Source organism: Homo sapiens, chromosome 1, assembly GCF_000001405.40.
Source record: "Homo sapiens chromosome 1, GRCh38.p14 Primary Assembly".
NCBI lineage: Eukaryota > Metazoa > Chordata > Mammalia > Primates > Hominidae > Homo > Homo sapiens.
Window position 1 is genome coordinate 77,328,109 of NC_000001.11, and position 21,033 is coordinate 77,349,141.

The window sequence follows — 21,033 nt, forward strand, 5'->3', positions numbered from 1 at the left end:
TAATCAAGTTAGCAGTGAGGAAAAGACATCTTGGGGAAAAGAAATAGCTTTGTAACTTTACATTCATTTCCTTATTGTCAACCTGGTATATACTATTCATTAAAACTTCAGGCCAGGTGCAGTGGCTCACGCCTGTAATTGCAGCACTTTGGGATGCTGAGGTGGGCAGATCACGAGGTCAGGAGTTCAAGACCAGCCTGACCAACATAGTGAAACCCTGTGTCTACTAAAAATACAAAAAATTAGCCGGGCGTGGTGGCGGGAGCCTGTAATCCCAGCTACTCAGGAGGCTGAGGCAGGAGAATTGCCTGAACCCAGGAGGCGGAGGTTGCAGTGAGCCGAGATCGCACCGTTGCACTCCCAGGTGACAGTGTGAGACTCCATCTCAAAAAAAAAGAAAAAAAAAAACTTCAACTTTTTCCTCTTTATTAAAGTCCTATATCTTGAGAGCCTAATGTACCCCAATCACTCTTATTGAAATGAAGATTTGAGCCATAAAAATGAAGCCACAGAAATGTATGTTTCATAAACTAATTTTAATGATATATTTTTGAATCCACTAACGATATACTCTGTTCAGCAGATATGATTAATTAGGCTTCTGAAAGGACAGAGTAACTTAGTAACTAACTTATTTACTAAAGTAGTAGAACAATATGCATTTGGGGCTGTAAGAGATTACCACAGGATCATGGAAATGGATAGTGTCTTAGTTCCTTTTATGCTGTTATAACAATACCACAGCCTGGGTAATTTATAAAGAACGGAAGTGAATATGGCTTATGGTTCTTGAGGCTGGGAAGCCTAAGAGGCTGTTGCCAGCGTCTGGCAAGAGTCATCCCATGGCCGAAGGGTGGATGAGAGAACACAAGACAGCAAAGGGGGCTGAACTCCCACTGTAATGGTATTAACCCAATTGCCTCCCAAAGGCCCCACCTCTTAATACCAATAGAATGGCAACTAAATTGCCAACACGTGAACTTTTGGTGGACATACTCAAACAATAACAGATGGAGCGCAGCTTTTCAACAGGAAATGGCTAAACCACCAAAATAAAGATTCATATACTAGTTGTCTCCCTCAGTGAAAAAAAAAAAAAAAGCTTTTTTTTTTCATTTTCATGGTTAATCATATTGATACACTTTGGATTTTTATTGTTGTTATTATTTTACTTTTAAATACCCTACAACTTCACTGAGGTCCCATCTTGACCACTCATTTCTGTGTAGAAAGTTTCTTATAATATAAAGAAGAGGTTAAAACACACTTTCATGGGTCCCATTTCCAGAGATTCTGGTTCAATAAAGCAGAATGGAGCCCATAAATTTGCATTTTTTAAATGGGGTGTTTCTGTGTTGCCCAGGCTGGTCTCAAACTCCTGGGCTGAACTGATCATTCCACCTCATCCTCCTGAGTAGCTGGAATTACAGGTGTGCCACTGTGCCTGGCCATATGAATTTGCATTTCTAACAGGCTTCTAGAGGATGCCTGAACAAGGGCAACTAGTGCAAGGACTACCTTTTCAGAAACAAAACCATTCCTTTGCTGTGAAACTTTGTTATCAAATCCAAGGGGAGTCCCAAAATGCTATCTGAACCACATGAAGAATTCCTTTTATCTGGGCTGGGGATAGCCTGGAGCCTGGGACCAAAGCTGACCAAAGCCTCCTCCAATCCTAATTTCACCCCCAGTCTCAGGTTGCCGTGCTATTGTCACAAAAATGTTGATTCAGGCAATGCTAGTGGAGAAGAAGCCAGGAACTGGAGCCAGAGAACCATAAACTCTGTCAGCTCTTAGCTGCCCAACAGAGGTCTTCTGAGAATTAAGTCAGGCAGATCTCACTAGCTGCATAGAAAAAGCAAGTTCAAAATAGAAAGATGAGCAGCAGACAGAAAGAAAGATGGATATTCTCCAGCCTCTTGGAGATAAAAGAGAGGCAAACCATACCTCTGCTCAGAATTGTAGCAGAGTGAAAAGTCTTTCTGACCAACTGTAGACAACTATTTTCTCCTCAAAAATGAAGAGAGGGAATGAGGTTGGTTATACGTGTGGCAAACATCTCCTGTGTAGCTGACATTTTCTTACTCTTAATGGAGTATTTTAATAATAAGTGTGTTTTTCTCTATTTTAAAGCAATCTATTTTATCAAACTTTTCTTTTATGGTTAGAGTTTTCTAGGTTCTGTTTGAGAAATCCTTACCAACCCTAAGATATAGAAACTATTTTCTTATGTATTATCTTCTAGACTATTTATCATTTTGTCTTTCACATTTAGATCTGAAAATCCATCTAGAATGAATTGTTTGCATATCATATAATGTAGGGAGTCCAGAGTCATTGTTTTCCATATGGACATCCACTTTACCCAGTACCATTTGTTGAAAAGACTGTCCTTTTCCCTACTGCATTGCAGAGCCACCTTTGCCATAAATCAGACTCCCATATATTTGGGCAGTGAATCTGTCTCTAGGTTCTCTCTTCTGTTCCAGTGTTCTACTAGTTTTCCTTACAGCAATACCACACTATCTATTGCTTTATTCTTTTTCCTCAAGATTGGCTTGAAGATCACCTTGGTTATTCTTGATCTTCTGCATTTCCAAATAAATTTGAATCAGCTTTCCAATTTCTGTATCCCTCCCCAGAAAACCTGTTGGAATTTAGGGATTACATTTAATCTACAGATCAATTTGGGAAAAAATGACATATTTTATGATATTAAGTGTTCCATCCATGAATATGGCACATGCCTCATTTTAAGTCTTCTTTAATGTCTACCAAGATTAGTATAGTGTTTTTGTACCATCCTTCATTAGATTTTCCCCCTAGGTAATTAAATGACTTTTTAAAATTTAATATTTTTATTTCCATTTTAAGTTATTTGTTGCTAGTACATAGAAATAAAGTTGATTTTTGTATATTAGCCTTATGCTAATATACAAAAATATAATATGCTAATATACAAAAATATAATATAATTATGCAGACCATGCTAAATTTGCATATTCTAATAGTTTTAAATTTTTCATTTTTATATATACAATCATATCATATGCAAATAATGGCAATTGTATTTCTTTCTTTCCAAACTTGTGTTTTATTTCTTTTTTGTGTCTTATTGAACTGTCTAAAATCTCTATTACAATGTTAACTAGAAGTGATGATAATGAGCATCTTTGTTTCAGTCCTGATCTTGAAGGGAAAGGTTTCAACATTTCCCAATTAAGTATGATGCTTGCTATTCATTTTGTATATTTGTTCTTTATCACATGAAAGAAGACCTCTTGAATTCCTAGTTTGATAAGAGTATCATGAATGAATGTTAAATATTACCAAAGCTTTTTCCGTATTTATTAATTTATTAAGATTATCAAATGATTTTCCCCTTTATTCTATTCATTTCATAAACTACAGTGCTTGGTTTTTGAAAGGTAAATCAATTTTTCACCCACAGGTTAAATCCAAATTGGTCATGATATGTATAATCCTTTTTATATATTGACAGATTCATTTGCTATATTATTAGAATTTTTGTGTCTATGTTCATGAGTGAGATCGGCCTAAAATTTTTTTTTCTTCTAATGTTGTTCTCAGGCTTTGGATTATGGTAGCCTCATAAAATGAATTGGAAAATATTCCCTTTTTTTGGTATTTTACAGAAGGCTTTTGTTAGATTGGTTTCTAGTACATTTCACCAGTGAAGCCACCTAGGTCTATGGTTTTGTTTTTGTGAGAGTTTTGAATTATGGATTTAATATCTTTCATAAATATAGGACTATTTAGACTTTCTGTTCATTCTTTTGTCAGTATGGAGAAGTTGAGTTTTTCTAGAAATCTGTTCTTTCTTTTTGAGACAGGGTCTCATTCTGTCACCCAGGCTGGAGTGCAGTGGCACCATCATGGCTCACTGCAGCCTTGACTTCCCCAGGCTCAGGGGATCCTCCCACCTTAGCCTCTTGAGTAGGTAGGACTACAGACATGCACTATCATGTCCCACTGAAATCTGTTCATTTTATATAACATTTCCAAATTGTTTTCATAAAGTTATTCTTAATATCCTCTTTTAGTATCTTAAACTTTATAGAATATTTAGAGATTCATTTATTTTTATTTGCAATATTATTCGTGCCTTTCCTCTTTTTCTTCATTAGTTTTACCAGGGATTATCAATTTTATTAGTCTTTTCAAAAAACCAACCCCTTAGCTATAATATGCTTATTTTATATTTTATTACTTTCTACTCTTTATCTTTTCTTCTTTCTACTTTTTAGTAGACCTTAAAAGGTCTAAATTTTTCTTTTTTTTTTTACCATTTTGACACAGATAGATCACTGATTTCAACCTTGCAAATGTTTTAGAATGTCACAATTTTGTTATAATTTAATATAAAATATTATTTTTTGCCATGGTGATTTTTCAACCCAGGAAATATATTATTAGTGTGTCATTTAATTTCTATACATGGGGATTTTCTAGTTATATTTTTATTATTTATTTGATTATTTATTTATTTATTTATTTATTTATTTTTATTATTTATGCCGAGCTTATTTCTACTACAGCCATTGATGATTATATGATTTCAATCATTTCAAACTTGCTGAGGCTTCCTTTATGGCTCAGAATATATTCAACTTTTATGACAACTTCTCTGTGTGTTTTTAAAGACTTTATCCTCAACTGGATGGTTGCAGCATTATAAATAAATGTTGGTTTGTTAATTGTGTTGAAATATTCTGTACTCTGAGTTTTTTGCTACTTATTCTATCAGTTGCTCAGAAAGATATATTAAAATTTGCTACTATAATTGTGGATTTGTGACTTTCTCCTTTTAGTTCTGTTCAAGTTCAGCTTTAAATACTTTGAGCTAGCTTACTAGATCATGCAAATTAAAAGTTATTGTTTCTTCCTGGATAATTAAACCTTTTATCATAATGACATGGCACTCTTTAGCTCTAGGTAATACTTTTCTCCCTACAGTCTACTGCTGTGTTTGATATTTGTATAGTTTTACGAGCTTTCTGTTGTTTAGTGTCTTCATGGTATGTTTTCTCATCCTTTTACCTTTAGCTTTTTCACATCTTTAAAGTGTACTCTGTATCAAACACCTCTGAGGCCCCACCTCATAACCTCTGAGTCCACCTTTTACTTAGCCGTTTTTGCTGTGACTAGCTTTGTGCCGGTGTGGCACACATGCACAGGAGAACCCAGCCTAAGACACTCTTATGAACAGCAAGTACTTGAGTTTTGTTTTTGTTTTTATCCAGTTCATATTTTTTTAATTAAAATATTTATTCTGTTCAAATCTAATGTAATTACTTATATACTTAGGTTTAAATCCAGTATTTTACAATTTACCTTCTATTTGTTCCACTTGTTTTGTGTTTCTTTCCTCCTTTCTTACTTTTTTTGAATTAAGCAATTTTTATTTTTAAATCTCCCCCCCACCATGCTAGTTGATTGTATCTTATGTGACAACTTTTTTTGTGATTATTCTAGAGCAGGGGTCAGCAAACTATGGCCCATGTGCCAAGTCCTACTGGCTGCCTGTCCTTGTAAATAAGTTTTATTGGAACACAGCCATGCCCATTATTTTGCTTATTGTCTGTGCTACTTGCACGCTACAAGACCATATGGCCGGCAAAGCCTGAAATATTTGCCATCTGGTCCTTTACAGAAAGAGTTTACCCACTCCTCTTCTAGAAATTATGGCATATTATCATTAACTAACTTATTAATGTCTCATAGAAATCAGTACTTTTACAGTGGTAAAGGTACAATTCCTGAACAAGTAAAAGATTTTAGAACAGTTGAACTTCATTTACTGCCTCATGATTTATGTACTGTCTTTATTTGTAAATACCACAAGATACTTTTACTATTCTTTTATATGGTTAATATTTATTTAGGTTTACCTACATATTTACCATTTTCATTGCCCTTCGTTCATTCTTCTGGGCCAACTTTCTATCCTGGATCATTTTTCTTCTACCTAAAGAATACTCTTTGATGTTTTAATTACTATAGAATTTCTGATGACAAATTCTCTCAGTTTTTGTTTGTTTGGAAATGCTGTATTTAGTCTTCAGTTTTGAAAGATTTTTTTGCTGGATATAAAAATGTAGGTTGGCAGTTATTATATATCAACACTTTAAAAAAATAGTGTCATTGTTTTCTGACTTTCATTGTTTCTTTTGAAAATTTAGCTGTCAGTCTAATTGTTGCTTCTCTGAAAGTAATCTCTCATTTCTTTTTTGGCTGCTTTAAAGATATTTTTTGGTCTGTCTAGGTTTTCAGTTTTACTATGATGTGCTTAGATCTGAGTTTTCTGCTTATTATTGTTGGTTTTTGTATTGCTTCTTGGATCTGGGACTTGATGGCTTTTGTCAGTTTGGAAAATTCTTAGGTATTATATTTTCAAATATTGCTTCTTCATTTTCTCTCCGTTTCTAGAGCCTTCTAACCATGTCTCAGGTGTCTCTTTTGCTCCTTTCCATATTTTTTCTACCTTTTTCTTCTTTTGCTTCATTCTGGATTATTTTCTTCTGACCTGTCCTTTTTGTTCTCTTTTCATTTGTCTCTGTTAAACACATTCAATCACCTTAACACAATAAGAGTTTGAGAGTATCCTAAATGAAATTTAGTTATCTAAGGGTGGTTCACACATACTCTGATGGTATACCATTTTGGAGTCCAACAAAAGCCTGGGGGTGGGGTTTGGTGTGGTTACTTTCTAGAGCCTCTTCCCCTGGGTGGGCCCCATATATCACTTTTTGTCCCCTAACCCTGTGATCTGTTGAAAGCTCTGTCCAGAAATTACCTCCATGTTAAATGATAGCAAAGTCCAGTTGTCTGTCTTTTTTCCTTTTTTTAGAAAGTTTTTGTTTCAACTGTGATTTTCTCTTTTCTTTAGTACTTTACTTTCTGTTTTCTGACAGTTTAGCTTATCTGAATTATGGAGTCTAGACCTTCTAACACTTCTTCATAAAGAATAGGGCAGTCAAAAGTACTGACAGTTAAGAACAAGGAGCATTAAAATGAGCTCACTTTGCAGTCTGACACAATGAATATGTCTTTGCTTATACAAAGGCAGTCACAGGTTCTTTTAACAGAACAGTCATTCAAGTAAAGGCTTTAAAAATGGACAGAGGAAGATTGAGTTGTCTGTGTAATGAAAGAAGAAAAAAAGACTGAATTTGTTGATTCCGCAGGAGAAACAATATCAATAATTTGAAAGTTTACTTCCATGTAGACAAAAGTGATGCCTCAGTTTTTTGGGTTTTTTTTTTTTTTTGTAACTTATTTATTCACTCATTCAATCAGCACATATTTTTTGAGAACATACGCTAAGGAAAAGGATGCAAAGGATCTTATGACCACTGTTTTGTTTGCTGATACTTCTCAACATTTCACAGTGAATTTCTTAAAAACTTTCTGGGGTCTTCACATCTTTTAAAATAGAATGATGTCTGCTACTAAAGTTTTGGGAAAACATAAACAATTTAAGTATATTTTCCCTTTAAAATGGAGCACTATTGGAGAACATCAGGCCATAATGTATGCAGGGGTTACAAGGAATCCCATGAGCATCCTTATGGCTGGGGTGGAGCAGTCAGCTGATTACGCCTACCTGCTGTGGTGATCTTGGCTATTTTGTATTTTAATCTTTTTTACTCCCAGTCATATGTTATTTATCTATTTATCCAGGCTTAAAAACAGTGGAAATTTACTTCTCACAGTTCTGGAGGCTAAGAAGTGCAAGATCAAGGCACTGGCATATTTGGTGTCTAGTGAGGGCCTGCTTCCTGGTTCATAGCGGTCTTTTCTCTGTGCACTCACATGGTGAAAGGGACAGGGAATCTCTGGTTTCTATCTTATGAGGGCACCAATCTCATTCATGCTTTTTATTTATTTGTGTATTCATTGTATGTTTTTTGGTTTGAGGTTACCATGAGGCTTGCACATACTATCTTATAACCCTTTTTTTTTTTTTTTGAGATGGAGTCTCACTCTGTTGCCAGGCTGGAGTGCAGTGGCGCGATCTCATCTCACTGCAACCTCCGCCTCCCGGGTTCAAGTGATTCTCCTGCCTCAGCCTCCCGAATAGCTGGGACTACAGGCATGCGCCACCACGCCCAGCTACTTTTTGTATTTTTAGTGGAGACAGGGTTTCACCATGTTGGTCAGGATGGTCTCGATCTCTTAACCTCATGATCTGCCCACCTCAGCCTCCCAAAGTGCTAGGATTACAGGCATGAGCCACTGTACCTGGCCATAACCCATATTTTAATCTGATAACAACACTGTTTGCATAAACAAGCAAGCAAAAAGACAACTAATAAAAACTCTATGCCTTAACTTCATCCCCTCATTTTTAAACTTTTTTGTTGTTTTTATTTATATCTTATGTCTTGTAAAGTTATCATCGTTATTATTTTTGACTGGTGCATCATTTAGTCTTTCTACTTAGGATAAAAGTAGCTTACACACTACAGCTACAGTATTATAATATTCTGTGGTTTTTTTTGTGTGTGTGTACTTACTATTGCCAGTGAGTTTTCTACCTTCATATGATTTCTTATTGCTCATTAACTAACTTTTCTTTCTGGTTGAAGTACTCCCTTTAGCATTTCTTGTAGGACAGGTCTGGTGTTGATGAAATCTCTCAGCTTTTGTTTGTCTGGGAAAGTCTTTATTTCTCCTTCATGTTTGAAGGATATTTTTGCTGGATATGCTATTCCAGGGTAATGGTATTTTTTTCCTTCAGCATTTTAAATATGTCATGCTACTCTCTCCTGGCCTGTAAGGTTTCCACTGAACTAGTCATATGGCATTAATTTATACCAAGGAAAGACAGCAAATTAATCACAGTTATAACATTAAATAGCTTAGCAGATTCATTTCAAGGTCATCTTTTTCAGGCCTGAAGTTGCATTTATTGATCAAAAATCTTATGTATTCCACTCAATTTTTCTGTAAACCTAAAACTGCTTGGAAAAAGTCTAACTAAAAACATACATAAACAAAATGCAATTTTATTCAAAGTATTAAAAAACCACATAAATTTCAAGCTGTCGCTAGTGTTTCAAAAGCCAATACCTGTAGTAAAAGACAAAATATAGTGATGATTGTAATTGTTGTAGTAATCCCACATAGGTAGAAGGCTATCCATGGCCTTACTGTGTCAAGCAAAGAGAAGCACTTACATTAACAGACTAAAATAAACACAAAATGTATTAAAGTAAAACATTTCAGTGCAAAATGCAAAAATTTAAAAATGCAAGTTTTTATCTGCATTCAATGCTGAGTTAGAAGTTTTTTCTTATATTTTAATATGCGTTATCTCCAAACCAAGCACAATATATCATTTTATTTGTCAAAAAAATTTCTTATGTAATTTATTTAAAGTAAATTTTAAATTATATCTTTTATTATAGTGGCTGAAGCTGGATGTTACTGGTAATTATGTTAACTATGAATTTTATAACATAATATTTGATAAAAATAAAAGCTTTAACTTCAGGTAATCTCTTTATCATATATCATACAAATACTACAAGTGATTCTCTAATTTTTTAAGGTTTCTCAAAAATGATTTGCATGTTGTTTAAAAATTGGGAAATACTAACTTCTGAGTTGGGAGTTTATTCCTTACTTTGCAGCGGGGAAAACTGAGGTTCAAAGGGATTGAACAATTTGCACAAGGACAAACAACGAATAGAAGGCAGATTCTAGATTCAAACTCAGTATTGTCTGATTCTACAATCCATGCTCCTAATCACCTTTCCTAGCATACGCCTGTGCTTACACAGTGGCAATGAGAATTGAAGACGAGACATCTGAACAATGTTTTCTTTTTATTTTTTTTTTTTTTTTGAGACAGAGTCTTGCTCTTGTCACCCAGGCTGGAGTGCAATGGCACGATCTCAGCTCACTGCAACCTCCGCTTCCCGGGTTCAAGTGATTCTCCTGTCTCTGTGTCCTGAGTAGCTGGGACTACAGGCACACGCCATCGCACCCGGCTATTTTTTTTATTTTTAGTAGAGACGGGGTTTTGCCATTTTGGCCAGACTGGTCTCGAACTCCTGACCTCATGATCTGCCTGCCTCAGCTTCCCAAAGTGCTGGGATTACAGGCATGAGCCAATGCACCTGGCCATTTGAACAATGTTTTAAAGACAAAATCAATAGGCAACAGTGATAACTTGGATAGATAGAAGTTTAGATGGGTAAGGGTTAGAATAGATACTAAGTCTTCTAGCTAAGAGATTTAGGAAAGGAGTGTTGCTACAATAAAAATAAATAAGTTGAGATTTTATTTAGGTGGGAAGTTGCTGAGATTAATTTTTGGTCTTGCTGAGTCACAGGTAACATTCAGATGTAAATAGAGCTGTCACATAGACATTTGAAAACATAGAACTGGGTACTATTGAAAGTCAGTGCTGACAGTGTAGATTTGAACTTTATCAGCAAAAGGTAGTGGTTGAAACCAAAACAGTGGAAGGGCACTGAAAGAGTGAGAACCTGGAGAGGGAAGAGTATGATCTAAGCCTTGGAAAACACCCCCACTTCAGGGATCTGAGGAGGAACAAATGTGAGCAGAGGACAAAACAACAAAATAAAAAATAAGAAGTTAAAGGAGAACCAGGACCACATAGAATCATGAAAACTAAGAGATAGTAAATGTGGCTAAAATGTATTGAGCACCTGCCATGAAACATACATGCTATGTATTTTATATTATTTAATCTTCATAATAACTCAAGGAGGTAAGTTCCTGTATCTCTATTGACAGATAAGGACATAGAGGTTTAGCAAGATTAAATTATGTGCCTGTTGTTCAGCTAGTAAGTCCTGGGGCAAAAAAACTGGAATCCATGTCTTCCAGCCTCCCAAGTCCATTTTTTAACTAGTGGTCTCCAGAGTGCACAAAGCAAACCACTGTGATATGGGAAAAAAATCATTAAAATTACAATAATAGAATCCCATCCTTTAAAAATTGTATTTTCATATATATATTTTACAATGTGCATTCTGCACTAGTATAGTAATACATGCATATCATATGTACATGCATAATTTGTAAATTAATAAGTAATTGCGGCATATGCTTAAAACATTTACTAATGTGAAGAGGCAGTAAAACACTTTGGAGATTATTGCTTCAAACCACTATGCAAACTGTCTTTTTGCCTCGTCCCATTCTCAGTTGTAAGCTGCATTCACTTCATATAGTCGTGCTATGTTTTAAATGCAATGCTAGTTCTAATTTAGTTAAATAGAAACTTTTTACTTCATAGGTTCTTTTCATCCTACTTCTTAGTATTTTCTGAAATTTATGAAGACCTTTGGGCCTTTTAGTGCTTTGTGATAGTGAAAGGAACAGAGGCCTTAGACCAGACAGACTTGAGTTCAAACATTAACTTTTACTTTACTGACCATGTGATCTCAGACAAGTACTTAATTTCTCAGAGCCTCAGCTCATCTATGAAATGGAGATAACATTTACCTTGCAGATTGTTGTAAAATTTAGCAATATCTTTTTTTTTTTTTTTTTTTGAGATGGAGTCTTGCTCTGTCACCCAGGCTGGAGTGCAATGGCACAATCTCAGCTCACTGCAACCTCCACCTCCCAGGTTCAAGCAATTCTCTTGCCTTAGACTCCTGAGTAGCTGGGATTACAGGTGCGTGCCACCACCTGTAGAGACGGTTTCACCATGTTGGTCAGGCTGGTATTGAACTTCTGACCTCATGATTCTCCCGCCTCAGCCTCCCAAAGTGCTGAAATTACAGGTGTGAGCCACCACGCCCAGCCAGCAATATCTTAAGGAAACAGCATTGGGCCTGGCATACAGTAGATAATTTTTAAATGGCACCAAATAGTAATAATAACAATAGTACTTGTTTGCTGTAGAGAACATCTGTGGCCCAGTAGTTCCTCCCATCTAAAATCAAGTTGCATATATAATATTTTTAGCAAAGTTTGGCTGAGACTGTTCTTAATTCAACTTGGAAACTTATTTGAGCATATATAAAAAGTGTTGGCTACTGCATATGGCCACATGAGTTAGAGAATGCTATTTACATGGACTACAGTGGGAATGGCTGCTCCTGGCCTTGGGTAGAGCAGCAGCCCTGGAAATACACTGTCAAAAACATAGAGGGCCAAATATATGGCAGCCTCCACAGAACAAAAGGAAATGAATGCAGCTGCCCACACATGCATTAGTTGGTATGTTGAATGCCTCTCTATTTGTTGATGCTCTCCACAGATCTGTACCCCCGATTTGGTGGTATTCCTGGCTTGTGCTAATCAGAGACTCAAAGAAAGATTACTGAAGCGTGCAGAACAGCAGGGCCGACCAGACGACAATGTAAAAGCTACCCAAAGGAGACTAATGAACTTCAAGCAGAATGCTGCTCCATTGGTTAAATACTTCCAGGAAAAGGGGCTCATCATGACAGTAAGTTAGCTCGACTTTTACAAGTCCAATACAAGAGCGCTCTTTCAGATTTCTCATTAGCCCATGTTCTCATGTAGAAATCCTCTTTACCTTAAAAAGTGGCTTTTGGGGGGTACAGAACCAATGGAAAAAAATGTATCATTTTGACCTGATTTGCCTTTTTAAGCCATCATGTTTTTTTAAAAAAACTTTCTTTTTAATTTAATTGATTTTTATGAAAGAAGATAAATTTTAACCTTGGCCAAAATTCTGTAGTCCTCAAGTAAAAAAGTGTTTTAAAGTAACTGTCTGGGTGATTGTAAGCAATATTTGTCCAGTCTCTCCACTCTTTTGTCTGTCTTTGGAAGCCTAACAAAATTGATAGACTTATAACCACACAGTTGATGTGGGGTTATAATAGATTTAAGCGTTGTTTGTCATGATCTACTACATAAAGAAATGAGGTTCTGACTTCACAGAAAAAGTTTCCTAAGGGTTTGACTTGTCATAAAGAAGTGATAATGTATCAAAATGGGAGGTAGTCACCCTTCTGCTCCTTTGATACAATGCAAATATTAATGTTTTCCTAAATTTTTAGTTTGTTTTATGGCTAATGATATTCAATGTGCCAATGAAAGATGACACTGAATCATTAGTTTGTACAGTTTTTAGAATCTAGAACATTAGAGGTGAAGGTTCAGCTAAATTTATGATAATCACAGCATCAGATTCCAGCATTAAAGCGTAGAGGAGACAAAGAGGATAATGGGTCATCTGAAGAAAGCACTTTATGCAAGAGGACACTAAAACCACAGCAGCTGCTTGACAGCTAGATGGTGGCAGACCTTGGCAGAATCCTCCTCTCAGCCCTCGGGCCCGGGCCAGTGGACCAAAGAGTTTTGTGTAGTTGGGTTACAAGCCTCTGTAGAGAATCTAATCAAAGCGATGCATGCCCATCCCAATAAAAAGCACATAAAGACTTTTTTTCACAAATTTTAGGTAAATCAGCTGAAGCCCATCCAGAGAGCTCCTGTGATCTTGACAATTCCTGGGTTAAAACTCTCTTCATTAGACTAGGATGCCCTTAGACCTGAAAGAGACAGACATGACATTTGAAGAATAATTTCTTTGCAATCTTTTTAGCACCATAAAGAAATATTTAACGTGATTTGCTCTTTGAGTCAAAGTTGTCATGTCGCAGAGTTGTAAGTCTGATCTGGAAATTGTTCACAATGCCAGGGTTCATATTTTGATCTAAAGCAGGCATTGAGTAATTGAAAAGATTTGGGAAAATCAGGGTGGATGCTTCTGTGGCTATGTTTTGTTGGGGTTATTGTTTGGTTTTTGTTTTGTTTTGGTTTGGTTTTTTGAGTTGGAGTCTTGCTCTGTCACCTGGGCTGGAGTGCAATGGCGTGATCTCAGCTTACTGCAACCTCCATCTCCTGGGTTCAAGCGATTCTCCTACCTCAGCCTCCCAAGTAGCTGGGATTACAGGTGCACACCACCACGCCCAGCTAAATTTTTGTATTTTTAGTAGAGATGGGGTTTCACCATGTTGGCCAGGCTGGTCTTGAACTCCTGACCTCATGATCTGCCCACCTCGGCCTCCCAAAGTGCTAGGATTACAGGCTGTTGTTTGTTTTTCTCACCAGTTACCAACACTAACTTCCACATTGTATCATAAAAAAAGAAATTTGCCCTACAAACCAAACCCCAACTGTAAGGTGCAGGGCCAGATTTAATTGATGTTTGTAAGGCTCAAAGGTGTTACCAGAGTGTCTCTGATTACTCCCTGCTTGTCACATTCGTCATCACAAGCAGAGCAGATTTCTCAAATGAATGCGGAGTGGATATTATTAATTTACTAATATTTTGCATGGAGGTGAAATGCCATTGCCTCTAATTGAGGGAGTCAATAACAATGTGGATGACAGCCTGTAACCTCACTGCTAAAACCAAATGAGCTTTAAGATAAATGCTTCTAATTACTGACAGAAAACTTGCCTAGTAAAGTCGCCTTTTGGAAAGCAATGAACGCAAACACAGGCTAAGCTCTGGGGAATATAATTTGAAAAAATTTGACAAAGAAGCAAAACATGTGTCCTCTTTTAGAACCTGGATCATAGTTTATTGCTGGAATTAAAATATATTTGGTGACACTTCTGCTTTTAAAGATGAGTTAAATAATAAAAATGATCATTTGTATTAATAATAAGCATGTTAAGATTTTAATAAAAATCTGGGGGTTAATAGATCAAACCCAAATATTTCCTTTTCTCTGTAGTTTTTTTTTTTTCCTTTTCTCCCACCTGCCCCTCCTGATTCATTCATTTACTCATTCAGTAAATATTTACTGAAAACCAGGATACTCTGCTAGGGGACAGGGGTGCAGAGCTAAATAAACAAAGGGTAAGGATCTTTATTTTGGCACAGACATATTGCAGACACCTAGAACAGTACCTTCTCACTATATAGTAAGCTCCAGGAAATGAACAGAGCTTGCAGTGTGTGGAGAAAGAGACATTAAACAATCAGTTATTAAGTGTGATGACTGTTGAGTTATGTGTTATAATTGTGATGGATTATTAAGTGTGAAAATGTGCAGGGTGTCCTCACATATGTCATGCACTGTTTTAGGGATTGGGATTCCCTGTGGTGAATAAAATAGACTGTCTCCACACTCCAATAGCATTAATCACTTATCTCTGCACAAAGTTCTTAAGGGCCACAGAGACCATGTCCCTGTTTAGTCCAGTTGAGAAACTTCATGTTAGTACCCCTCTTCTCTGGCGCTTTGGTGTCTGAATCCTGTCACTTGGAATCTCAGTTCCGTTGCCATTTAATAATTTCATGATGCCCTACAAGGTATAGCCTCTAGGACTTGATCTCTCTATCTCTAAATTGGAGACAGTGTTACCTACCTCATAATATTGTTGTGTGGGTGAAATGAGAGAATATGTATAACATGGTAGATGATAGTAATGCAGAGAGCGTGTTTTAAGATGCTCCATGCAGCCGCTTTGCCTGATTCAGATTCCAGCTGCACCACCTACCACCTGTGTGACTTTCTGCAGGTTACTTATCTGCTCTGCAACTCGTATGCCTTACCTGTAAAATAGGTATAATAATCAATCCTACCTCAGTGTGATTATGAGGAGTAAATGGATGTCAAGAGCTTAAAACGGTGTCTAGAATATTGTAAGGGTAAATGACATGATTGATATTATTGTACAGTTTTTATATTTCTTTGTCTTTCTTCCTTCCCCAGCAAATGCTCATCTTTTAGAATCTACAGTAACCACTAGCAATTCTGTGCCCTTTGAGGGAACTCTGTTGCCTTTTCTCCAATACATAGGTTATTGAAGAAATCCAAAATGAATAGGTTGTAAAAACTTTAGACATAATTCATCTTTTTCTTTAAAAGTGTCTATTAATGAGTTGTAAGTTTGACTCAGTGTCTTCTTTAGATTCTATATTGTCCGTGTAATCAAGCTACATAGTGGCTGTGTCTGAATAGTAACAGACATCATTCCACTCTTTTCTTTTTTACCTCATTGACTATATCTGTTGGCATATTTGACTAGAGAACAAACCCAGTTTGACTGAAAAGAAAGCCTAATCAGATTAGCCAAGAAAAACATGCTGTTGCTTGAATACTGTATCTTACTGACATAGTTTCCATTACATGGACTTCTTCATTTTTGTTCTTGTATTATACATGTCCATATGCAGTCATGTGTGCAAATATGAATGAAAATAATATGAAATCATAAGGCTAGTATATTAGAAACTTCTTCATAGAACTTTCTCAGACATATTTATATGTTGTCTTTAACTTACCCTGAAGTTGGATGTAATTTCTCAATACATCTTTTACTGCTTTATGCTTGTGATTAAAGATTAGGATGCTGTGAGTTCCCAATGTTTGGCAGAAGATTTTTCTTGTAGTTAGTTTAGATATTGCTGGATCTAGGAAAGCTACTTTTACTATTGCTGAGTAAGCTGTGTCTCTTGACATTTTGGAGCACTTGGACTTGAAACTGTATAACTCTTGAATAATAATTTCCCTTTTATAGATTTTTACAGTTCCAATAAAATGTCTGTTTCATGATAATTTTTAATCTTTCTTGTAAAAGTTTTTTTCAACTAGTCTTCATTTCAATCAGTCTCACCAAGTTGGAACACTTTTTTTCTTTTTTTTAATTTATATTTATTGTACATGAATAAGTTCTTTAGCGGTGATTTCTGAGATTTTAGTGTGCCCATCACCTGAGCAGTATTTACTGTACCCAATGTGTAGTCTTTGATCCCTCATCCCCCTCAGGAACCCTTTTCTAAGAAACAGAATTAATTAAGACAAGTCAAGTTTTTGTAAGTTTTATGAACTTTTTAAAAAATATATGCAATTTTGTTTATTTTTAAAGAAAAAGGTCTTCTTAAATTGTGCAAAAAAAAAAAAAGCTCAGATGCAATGTATATGTTATTTTTTCCAGAATGCATTCAAAACTTTGTGCCATTAGATGTTCTATTCAGCCAGAAAAACATGGATTTCACCAGGGAAATGGATATACACTTGTGTGCATTGAAAAAATGCTACTGAATATTGGTAATAATCATTAAAATCCACATTTAGCTTTAGACTGTGAAGTAAACAAATAGTCATTTTCCTTCTGGACTTTTTGTAGGAGTATAACTTGAAATCAGAGGTAAGCTGTGGTCACAGGATGTATGAAAAGGCCTACTAATTCATACGCAGGTTTACCAACTAAATCTCTTCAGCCAGGAAAGGCAGAGGCTGAAAAAAGGTTAAAATCAGGATTATTTATTGTTCACCAATACCAGGTTTCCTGGGAAGTGGTCAAGGAATGTGGGAAGGGCTACACTGCTATTTAGCAAGGCTGTATAGACCAATGTTTCCCTAATTTTAGTACTTACTAGACCAGAAAAAATATTTTTTAAGTAGGGGTGAGATGACTTTTTAATTTTACGAAGTGAAGGCATTAGAAAAAAACTCCCAATACTTGCCTTATTTTTCTAATTTTGCTGTGGATTGGGAAACACTCATCACAAACCAGCATCAGTGCTGGGAAACGATTGACATAGAGAGCACAGGCCTGTCAAACTACACCATTGTTTATTACCAGACATTGTCCCCAAGTCCCAGATAACCCCATTCACACTACGATTGCTTCATTTGCCCCATATCACTTCCTTCAAATTTGAGAATCCCCGCATTATGCATTTCAAATTTACCACTGAAACTATGCACAGTTGACCCTTGAATAACGCAAGGATTGGGGTGCCAGCTCCCATGCAACTGAAAATCCATGTATAACTTTGAGTCCCCCCAAACAGAACTACTACTAATAGCCTACTGTCAACCAGAGCCTTATCAATAACATAAACAGCTGATTAACACATATTTTGTATGTTATATGTATTATATACTGATTCTTACCATAAAGTAAGATAGAGAAAAGAAAATATTATTAAGAAAGTCACAAGGAAAAGAAAATATATTTATTGTTCGTTAAGTGGAAATGCATCATCATAAAGTTCTTCATTCTTGTTATCTTCACACTGAGTAGACTGAGGAGGAGGAGGAAGAAGAGGGGTTGGTGCTTCTGTCTCAGAGTGGCAGAGGTGGACCAAAGTGGACCATGCCCTTCAAACCCCTGTCGTGAAGGATCCACTGTAATTCCCATCCCATCAGACACTCCTAGCCACAGGAAAAATAAGTAGGAATAGTAAAAGTTAATTTAGAGAGAACTGCTGAATAATTATTTGTTAACTGACTTCACATTTCATAGGAACCAACACTAACATTTAAAGTATAATAATACATTTATCCCTAAACTCTCAACGTACAGCCATTGGTTAATTATCACCAACTCCACTTAGCATCACTGCACATATGGTGGAAATGGAAAGAAAAATAACCCAAAGGAGAAAAGAATTTTTTTGTGGGGGATAGGGTCTGGCTGTGTTGCCCAGGCTGAAGTGCAGTGGCGTGACCTCAGCTCACTGCAACCTCTGCCTCCCAGGTTCAAGCCATCCTCCCACCTTTGCCTCCCAAGTAGCTGGAACTACAGGTGTATGCCACCATGCCCACCTAATTTTTCGTATGTTTTGTAGAGACAGGGTCTCACTTTGTCCCTCAGGCTGGTCTCGGACTCCTGAGCTAAAGCAATCCACCCACCTCAGCCTCCCAAAGTGCTGGGACTACAGGATGAGCCACCACACCCAGCCAGGAGAAAAGAAAACTAAACAGCATGAACACTTATCAGCAACCCACCTAAACATAAGAAAAGCAAACAAACATTTGATAACAACTTGCCCCAAAAAACCCATTCTCCTAAAATTACTAGGAAAAAAATTCTGTTACAGCGTCTCAATAGGTAAGGGGTTGATGAGTTTGTAATGTGTTACATAATGAAGCTGTATTTCCTTTGAGTACCATCACTTATATCCTGTTTGAGCATCCATTGTCATGTAACCAAAAGCTCCCACTAATTCCTATTTCTGGATTTAGTGACTAAGAAAATAGTCGAGGAAGAGTTTTTAAAGGTTAATAGGAAAGGCCATGGAAGTATTCTGGAAGATATTTACTTAGGTAACAATGATATCTATATTCACATGGATATATGGTCCCCTAAATTGCTTTTCAGTTGCCAGAGTGTGTTTAAATTAAGTAAACAGTGCCTTCTGGCACAAAACCTGATGCTGATAGAACCTCAGTGAGAGCCCTGAAGCAACATGAGAAATACCGTATCCATTTTTGACTGGAATAAAGAGCAGCTTAAAAGGAATCACATCCTCTGGGCAACAAGCACTTATCAAATCTTAACTGTGTGTAGAGCTGCCAAGATGGTGCCGTTCTCAGAAAAGTCCTGTTGCTTCCCTAAGGAGCTTGCCATCTCTGGGGATTACTCAGTGTTGCCCACTTAATTTACCTATTTACATACCTATCTGTAATTTTGGTTTTAAAATATCCAGAACTAAATTGAAAAGTGAATCTGATTACTTTCATATACTGTCATTATTGTGGGCTCTAAAACCTAAAATACCGTGATCACAATTTCTCTTTCAATCTTTTGGATAGAAAGGAAAATAAAAGCACAAAGATAAAGCCATTTGCTCACAAAATGGCAACCCGCATATAGCAAAGTATATCATCCACTGTCCTGGGCAGCAAATTCTGCTAGTTCCTGAACAGCATCAAAACAACAGGAAGAACAAGCAGATACCACATTTATAGCTCATCCTGGCAATCTGTCTCTGTCATAAGCAACGCCCTGACTCACAACTTTTCCATCCCCAAAGCTCCCTCACTTCCAGTCGTCTTCACACCCCGTAGACAGAAAGCAAACCAAATGACTCAGCAAATGCATCTCTCTCGAGGTTGGAAACTGCTGCTGATTATATGGCAGTCCTACTGTCAGCATCGGATGAGAAGAGCTCTTGCACCAAAAATGCAATATTTTATTGTGATGTTTTATACAGGTATTAACAGGAAAAATAAGGAAGAACTTTAAAAATGAACAACTTCCTCCCCCAACAGAATGTAAAATATTTTTCTGTTGATTTTATTATTACCGACACTCATAAAACAGAGTCTGAAGAGCCCCATGAACAATTTTTTAATCATCTGAAGTAGAAAGCAAGGCTCTCACATGATAACTATAAAACAAATAATGTGGACAAAATCGAGATAATTCAAGTGAAGACCTTTGGAGGTTCACATTAAGAAAATTCTGTGTGTTCTCATTGTTCAATTCCCACCTATGAGTGAGTTTTGTCCTTGCGATAGTTTGCTGAGAATGATGGTTTCCAGCTTCATCCGTGTCCCTACAAAGGACATGAACTCATCATTTTTTATGGCTGCATAGTAACATGGCACATGTATACATATGTAACAAACCTGCATGTTGTGCACATGTACCCTAAAACTTAAAGTATAATAAAAAAAAAATTCTGATTCCAAGAACTGTTACTGACAGGTCTATCTACAAATACTCTAGTTAAGGTCTGTGCTATTTCTATGGGACTGTCTTCAACAATAGCTTGTCTTTTTAATTTTTTTAAAGCAAAAGAAAACAAATTACTAAATAGTTGGTAGCTGAATGTCATGTCATACTAACAACTTCCTATAAACTGCTGTTTCAACCCTGCAGGTTCTATATGTATACACACCCACACACCCACACACCCACACACACACACAAACACATATTTTTAGCTGGTTATTCTCCAGGAGACACTCTGTGATCAGAACAATAATGTTGACAATAATGTCAACAAATATTCCAGACTTCAGAGTTAGGTCTTCATTTGAAATGTTTTACTAAGACTTACTGAGAACATGTGTAAGAAAATAATACTTTTGGTAATGTCCCTAGACTAAATTTTTTTCATGTTTAAGGCCAAACTAATTGGAATTAATCAATATCTTTTAAAGAGACCTGGCACTATAGTTAAATTAAATGTCCCCCCTCCAAAAAAAAGAAGACAAAATAAAAGAAAAAGAATAAGCATTTAAGGCTTGCCCGTCAGGAAAATACAACAAAATATTATGAATAGATGGTGCCTTAGGA

At 36.3% G+C, this 21,033-nt stretch overlaps 1 protein-coding gene across 8 annotated transcripts in view; it reads left to right on the forward strand.

The window, feature by feature from the left end:
- AK5 (adenylate kinase 5) overlaps nucleotides 1-21,033 on the forward strand; it is a 277,948-nt gene that overhangs the window by 46,090 nt on the left and 210,825 nt on the right. For all 8 annotated transcript variants that reach the window (NM_174858.3, XM_005270739.6, XM_017001012.2 and 5 more), the window contains one exon: nucleotides 12,269-12,460. In NM_174858.3, coding sequence (NP_777283.1) covers nucleotides 12,269-12,460 — 192 coding nt within the window. The remainder of the gene's footprint in view (nucleotides 1-12,268; nucleotides 12,461-21,033) is intronic.